Here is an 8,295-nt window from a genome sequence, read left to right on the forward strand (position 1 = left end):
GGGGCACCCACCTGTATGAGGTGTCAGTTGGCCCCTACTGGGAGGTGTCTCCCAGTTAGGCTACATGGGAGTCAGGGACCCACTTGAGGAGGCAGTGTGTCTGTTCTCAGAGCTCAAACACTGTGCTGGGAGAACCACTGCTCTCTTCAGAGCTGTCAGACAGGGACGTTTAAGTCTGAAGAAGTTTCTGCTCCCTTTTGTTCAGCTATGCCCTGCCACTAGAGGTGGGGTCTACAGAGGCAGCAGGCCTTGCAGATCTGTGGTGGGCTCCATCCAGTTCGAGCTTCCCCAACCACTTTGTTTACCTACTCAAGCCTCAGCAATGGCAGACACCACTCCCCCTGCCAGGTTGCTACCTCACTGGTCGATCTCAGACTGCTGCACTAGCAGTGAGCAAGGCTCCATGGGCATGGGACCCACTGAGCCAGGCAGGCGCGGGATATAATCTCCTGGTGTGCTGTTTGCTAAGACCATTGGAAAAGCACAGTATTTGGGTGGAAGTGTCCCGATTTTCCAGGTACAGTCTGTCGCAGCTTCCCTTGGCTAGGAAAGGAAATCCCCAAACCCCTTGCACTTCCCAGGTGAGGTAATGCCCCGTCCTGCTTTGGCTCACTCTCCATGGGCTGCACCCACTGTCTAACCAGTACCAATGAGATGAACCAGGTGCCTCAGTTGGAAATGCAGAAATCACCATCTTCTGTGTTGATCACACTGGGAGCTACAGACCGGAGCTGTTCCTATTTGGCCATCTTGGAACAAAATCCTCTCTTTAATTTTTTTCAGAGATGAGGTGTTGCTCTGTTGCCCAGGTTTGAGTGCAGTGGTGATGTGAGCATAGCTCACTGCTGCCTTGAACTCCGAGGCTCAAGCCATCCTTCCACCTCAGCCTCCTGAGTAGCTAAGACTGTAAGTGCATACCACCATGTGCAGCTAAATTTTAAAAAAAATTTTGTAGAAACAGGTTCTCGCTATGTTGCCCAGGCTGGTCTCAAACTCCTGGCCTCAAGTCATCCTCCAGCCTCAGCCTCCTGAGTAGCTAGACCTATAAGTGCGCACCACCATGCCCAACTAAATTTTTTGTTTGTTTGTTTTTTGTTTTTGTTTTCGTAGAGATGAGGTCTCACTATGTTGCCCAGACTGGTCTCAAACTCCTGCCCTCAAGTGATCCTCTTGCCTTGGCCTCCCAAAGTGCTGGGTTTACAGGCATGAGCCACCATGCCTGGCCTCAATATCTCTCTCTCTATCTCTCTCTATATATCTCTTCTTCTTTCCCTCTGAATCTCTCTCTTTTTCTACTTCTTTCTCTCTCTCTCTCTCTCTCTCCCTCTCTCTCTCTCTCTCCATCTCTCTCTCTCTCTCACACACACACACACACACACTTCTACCAATGTCTATCTTTCAGTCTCATTTTCTCCTATGCCAGCTTAACAACAGATCTGACTGCTGCACCCTTCAAAGTCTCCTATCTCCATCCCCAGATTGGAAATGCTCACTGGCTCTCAATTCAAAAATCCTGAGGAAGGACATTTTTGGATTCAGCTTGTCTCTGTTGCTTGTCCTGGCAAAATCAAGAGTGGCCAAGAAGTAGATCTGCAAGAAAATGGCACCACCCATTCAACCTCAGGGAGTTAAATGGAGGGAGGAGGTGATACATGTACACATTACAATTGATGTCACAAAGACTACTGTAGAGATTTTGGAGTACCCTGGTGATCAATATTAAGTAAAAATGGCAGGATATTAAATATATCTATAGTATGATAACCATGTTTTTTTAAAAAAAATAGACTCAAATATACTATATTAGGGCAGAAACTTCTCTACCTTACTCACTTCTTTATCCAAGCATAGTCCCTAGCACATAACCAATTCTCAAGAAATACTTGTTAAATGAATAAATGCAATAAAAGTGAAAGGGGAAAAAAATGACAGAACCTATATATACCAAACACTAAAAGTTGTGATCTCTCCACATGAGATTACAAAAAAAATTAATTTTTCCTTGATATACTTCACTGAATGTTTAAATATCTTATATTTAACCTGCATTACTTTTAAAATCAGAAAATTAGAATGTTGTCAAGTTCCCTTCACAGCAATAAGGGGCTTTGTGCCCCGAGAGGCTCTGGAAATGTCAGGTGCAGGATCTGCTTCATCCAGCCCAAATCAGGCCACCTGTGTAGTGTGGGTTGTCCTGGGAAGAAAGAGCCTGTTCTAAGCTGTTTCCTCCTTGACAGTAAGATAGCAGAGGCAGGACTCTGGCTCCCAGGTCCACAGTGATGGGATACCTCTCTAATTCAGTGTCCCGGGGTTATTTTCAGCCCCTGCAGTGGCAGCTGCCCGGGAAGTAAAGAACAGAAAAACATCAAGGCAGAGCAGTTTGCCTCACCTGTGTGGAAATAAGTCAGCTTGCTCTTCCCCAAAGAATTTCAGAGCTTGACAAATGAAATCACTTCATCTTACAGAGCCAAAAAAGGAAGTGACTTTTGGAAAGTGACTTAAGCCCTTGAGCCTGTTTTCTCATCAGCCTGGAACCTGAATATGACTGGTTTTCCTGTACCCAGCTTAAGGCTCATCTTAGCATTTTAAAGAGACACAAATCCAAATTCAAAAATAAGTCAGATCTTGTGTGATGGACAGGCAAAAGGAAAGAGATATTCCACAGGCAAAGCACACAGAAAACCTTCCTAATAGAGGCTTTTGCATCTGTACCCTAAAGCCCAGGCCTGACTGCATTTGTTGCAGTGCACCTTGTTATTTTTGTTTTCTTAATTTGCTTGGTTTTCTTTCTCTCTCTCTTCCCTTGTTATCCACATTAACTGCCTAGGAAATTTATCTTTATATGTTTCTCTTCATGCTGATATAATTATACATAAGCATCTATATACACACAAACATATGTGATGGAAATTGCATTTTTGTCTTATAAAAATGAGATTATATAAACTTTTCTGTATCATGCTTTTCTCATAACAACTCATGGAAGCCCCTTCCAATCATCTGATATAGGTCCAATTCTTTTTTGTTTAATCAAGGCATAATATTATAAAGGATGAATATTTCATAATTTAGTCAGCATTCCCTATTGATAAATGTCCTTGAACATTCTTATACCTGGTGCTTTTCTTTCAAAAAGTTTCTCAGAATTGAGATTTTCTGGGTTGAGGGGTATGTGTATTTTTTATTTTAATAGCTTTTCTTAGTTTATTTTCCAAAAGTTTATAACAATTTCGACTTCCATAAGCAGAGTATGATAATATTATTTCCCCTGCATGCCCACCAGCAGGAAATAGCACTCTTAAAGTTCTGGTATTTTGTCAGGTATAATGTTATCTCATTGTTACTTTAATTTGTATTTCCCTGGTCTGTAGTGAATTTGAACATCTTCATTTTTTCAGTAGTTGCCTCTGAATACCCTTTACCCATTTTTCCATTGAGTGTTTACAGTCTTAGCAATCTGTAAGAACTCTTTTTACTTAACCCTCTGCTCATCCCTACATTATAAATATTTTTCCAAATCTAACTTTTATTGATCGATATTGTTTATAGTATCTTTTTCCATGCAAAAACTTTTTCCCCAACTTTATAGAGCTTATGTTTTATAGCTTCTGAATGTTGTCTTGTTTTAAATCTCCTCACTCCCTGCAGGTGTTTTTTTTTTAATTGCTTTATTGTCTATACTTAATTCTTTAATATATCTGGTATTCATTTTAATAGCCAAAACTTGGAAATACAGCAAAAGAATGACTGCCTATGCTTTCACTGTCATACTAGCATGCTAACAGGTCCATTAGAGTATTATTTAAATCTCTTGGCCCTAGAGACCAGAAGATGTAGCACTTTTGACTTGCTGTTTACTATTGATTAGGACCCAGACTCTGTGCCTTTTCATGTAAATTTGTAGGTTTTTCTCCAATAGAGTGCAAATTATTTCTGTCAAATGGAGAAATAATTCAACTTACAGTTTTATTTCCCTGAGGAACATTAACCAGTTTCGTCTCTTAGTATGCTTGTTCCAGCCTGCCTGTCCTAGACTAACTATATAAATCTCTGTTCTCCAAATACTTTTTGAACCAGCTTTACCATCTGCTGGTTCCCTCATTAATGAACTAAATAAATCTTTGACCTGCTTCAAACCTATATTTATATGAGTTATGTTTTTAACTTCTTAAAAACTATACTTTGACACTGGAATGTATTTGTATATAGAACATAGGAGAGGTTTAATTTTATTTTTCTGCACATAATGGTCAGTTACACCAGATTCATTTATTAAATAATCTATCCTTTTCTCATCTACATAGCAATGCTTAAATTTTCCATGCCTAGAATAAAAACCTCGTATATAGAGAGCTTGCAATAAATATATTTTGGGTGAATTCTGCACATTCTCCTGTGTACTCGGTTCTACTCTGATTCTTTCTTCAATTTTTCTGAGCTATTGGTCTATTATTTTAGCAATAACATCTATTTTCCTACTGTGGCTTTATAGTATGTTCTGATATTTGAGAAGCAGTCACTTTTGGTTAGTTTTTTTTTCAAAAAATTTTCTGTTCATGACTATTTGTCTTTCCATATAAACTTTGTTTTTAGAAATAGGGTCTAGCTGTGTCCCCAAGCCTGGAGTTCAGGGGCACAATCATGGCTCACTGCAGCCTCAAACTCCTGGGCTCATGCAATCCTCCAGCCTCAGCCTCCTGAGTAGCTAGGACTAAAGGTACACACCACCATGTCCAGCTATTTTTTTTATTTTTTGCAGAGATGGAGGTCTTACTATGTTTCTGAGGCTGGTATCGAGGTCCTGGCCTCAAACGATCCTTCTGCCTGAGTCTCCTAAAGTGTTGGGATTACAGGCATGAGCCACTGCACCTAGCCCATATAAAATTTAAGATTATTTTTTCAATTATATAAAGAAAAAACGCATTTAGAATTTTACTGAGAATTGTACATTTATCTATTAATTTTGATGAAATTGATGTTTTGTGATTTTAAGCCTCCCTATCCCAGAACATGGTGTGTCTTTCCATTTGTTCAGCTCTTGCTTTATGTCTTTCAATAACAGTTTTATGATTTTCTTCATATAAGTCCTATATCTTATTATCTTTATTGCTAAGTATTTTATGGATATTGTTGCTATATCAAACATGGAACTTTTCTTCCATTTCCACTTTTAGATGCTTTTTGCCAGAACAGAGAAAAACTGTTGATTTTCATATCTTTATCTTGTATACAAATGCCTTACTAAATTCTATTATTTTTAATAGTTCATTTGATTTCACATTGATCTGGTTGTTCTCTGACCTTGAAGTGCTTTAATAGTAAAAAAAAAAACAAACAACACATAATCCACAGGATTTCTTTTCTATCTATAAGTATTTACTTCACCTAGCAACGTATCCTTTGCCACAATCCTTTTTTTTTCCTTAATGCCCTAAAACTTGCTGCAAATGTGCTTGTTTTTGTCTAAGTTCTGCTCAAGAGAGAAGGAAGGATGCTGCAGGAATGCCATCCACAGGAGGCTGTCTCAATGTAAAAGTCTCTGGATGTCCACCAGATCTGGAAATCATCGAATACAGTGTGGCATGAGGCAGTGGAAATATCAAATACAAATCGCATCACAGGGGAAAGTGCTACACATCAAAACTAACGGATGATATAGAGTAGAAAAAGATTAGTAACAAACTTAGAAGACAGAAGGTCTAGGAGGAGGTTAGGATGGGAACAAGAAATAAGTCAAGAGAAGTTTCTTCAGTCCCATGATCCTTGCAAGAGTGCCCAAGGCGTTTTATCCATCCCTGGTTATGGTGTTGGAAACCTGTGCAAAACCAAAAGTACAAGCGCTCTCTGAAGCACAGTGCACATTTTTGAAAAGGAAAGTGGCTTTGTGTAGACACTTTCAGAAGAGCATACCCAAATTAGTAAATGCCTTTTTTTTTTAGCACTCTTTGCTTAATCTAGACACCTTCTTTATAATGTTCCTGGATGCTAAGTCTATATTTTTTGGTAGTTCTTTTCCCCTCTGGCTTTTAAAGCAAAGTGAAAAGAAAAATGTTGTTATCGTCTTTTTTATGTAATAATATACCAGCGCTTGGCTTTATGAAATTTAATCATAGCATTTTATAGTCTATAAAATAGATCACCTTCTGAATTTAAAATAAATTGTATTTTACATGGAAGAAAGATTCACCAAGAGCACGTACATTTTTCAAATCCATTTGTTCTTCATGTTAGCAATGTTAAAAGAGGCATTTCCAGCTAGCCCATACCTGTTCTAATGTCATGAGTGACAGGCTTTTACCTTAGAGAAAATATCTTTATTTGTCATCGTCTAAGTCAATATTGTTGCAAGGGACATTTGATCAGGCTAAGGAAACACTGGACTGCTTCAGCTTCAAAAAATGGAAGACAAATGAAATACTCTGATATCATTTTTCACGGGGCCAAGAAAAGAAATTCTGCAGACAGAACAGCTGTATTCTCTTTATGCTCTGACAAAGAACACACAAAAGGAACAACAGTCATTGCTTTCACTAGATATTTAGGCTTAAGCCCATGGTGGTCTGACTTTACTTCCCGTCCCCCACCATCTCAGGACTTTTCTCTAAAGACAGCCATGCTTGTCTCTTTTTGTTGTCGTACGTGTACACATAGACATTGCAGCCAAAGGCCAGGGTCTCTGTGGAATTGCTCTACACTTCCCTTATTGTTCTCCTGCCCCTCACTTATCAACCCAGCTATTGGGAGAGAGTGTTTTCTGTTCATCCCACCCTTGGACTACTCCATGGGTGAGTGAGTTTCAAACTTTTATGAGAAGGGCCCAGCCTACACCTGTGTGCACCCTGACATCCACACACTGTTGGGCATGGTTCTCTGCACACAGGAGCTGCTCAGTTAATTTTTGCTTTTCTCCCCATTACCTACCACCAACTCAAAGTTTGATTTGTTTATAACCTGTGCTGAGCCACTTAAAATGCCCCAGGAAGAAAATGCTGTTCACAGCCACTGACCTCCCCAAATTTTTATTCCAGCAAGTCACATTACCCCTAGGATATGAAACCCAGGGCGGGCTGTTTTTCAGGGTCCCTCAGCTTCAGTGCAACTGGGGCACACACAGTCAAGATTCCATCTGTCTTGGGCAGCTTTCCTGAGCCTTGGGCGGACCAGCTCATCACGAATCTTAGGCATCTGTTGTCCCTTGCTGCCTATCTATAAGGAATAAACCTGCTTTGTGTAACTTGTGTATGAGTGCTCTGTCTCACCAGACTACTGCAAGTGATAGAAATTGGGACAGCCCAAGGTGTAGTGTGGTGAGATATTTAGAGTCCTCCCCTAGGATTGATACCAGTGCACCGTGAACCTGCTTCAGAGGGGTTCAAGCATTGGGTGTGAGTTTAGACAGCGTTCGAAAGTGTTCCTTCAACCCTTAGGTTCTGTAATTCTTGGGTAGAAAACAATACTACTACTAAAACAAAATTTTTGACATCTTTATTTTTCCCTGCATTTCTTCCTATCTGAGCAACATCTTTTGTACCCCCTGAAAAATGACCCAACTTCTCAAATGTCTGTGTCCTTGTTGAGTACATTAAACTCCCCCTTAATGCCCACCATTTGGAAAAACATGCATTATATTTAAACCCTGAGTACATTACTTGGCAGAAATACATACTGTAGTATTTTAAATATGAGGCCTGTTTATGGCATTGCTTCTCTGAGGACAAGTTATGAGATCAGTGACAATTACTATTCCTCATCTCGCCTCAGGGTCTCTGACAAAGGAGCACAGAGCAGGAAGCAATTACAAGAATCAGGAAGAATGTCAGCAAAGAGGCATACTGAGGCACCCTACAGAATCACCAAGGAGAAGGATTAAGGAAAATCATCCAAAGTAATTATCCCAAAGACCAGTGGGGACAGGGCAAATCTCCTACAAGCTCTTAAGATGCATTCTAATGTCACTGAAACCAGGAGGACTAAAGAAATGTTTGCCTGAATGATTTGATAGAATAAAGAACATAATTCAGAAAATCTGCAATTAAGTGTGCACCTGCAAGTATGCCCTACCTGTGGTGCTCTTATCTTCCTCTCTAATTTGCAGTCTCTCTTTCTCTCCCTCTGTGTGTGTGTATTTGAATATATGTCCAAATGTATGTTTATCTGTGCATATACACTTTAAAATTTTTTTAATTATGAAATGTATGTGAATAAACTGCCTAATAAATAAACCTTATTTCAGAGTATGGTTCTCATTCAACTAGATATATAATAAATAGATTTTATTGATTATCCAATCCTAAG

Source organism: Homo sapiens, chromosome 4 (assembly GCF_000001405.40).
Source record: "Homo sapiens chromosome 4, GRCh38.p14 Primary Assembly".
NCBI classification, from domain to species: domain Eukaryota; kingdom Metazoa; phylum Chordata; class Mammalia; order Primates; family Hominidae; genus Homo; species Homo sapiens.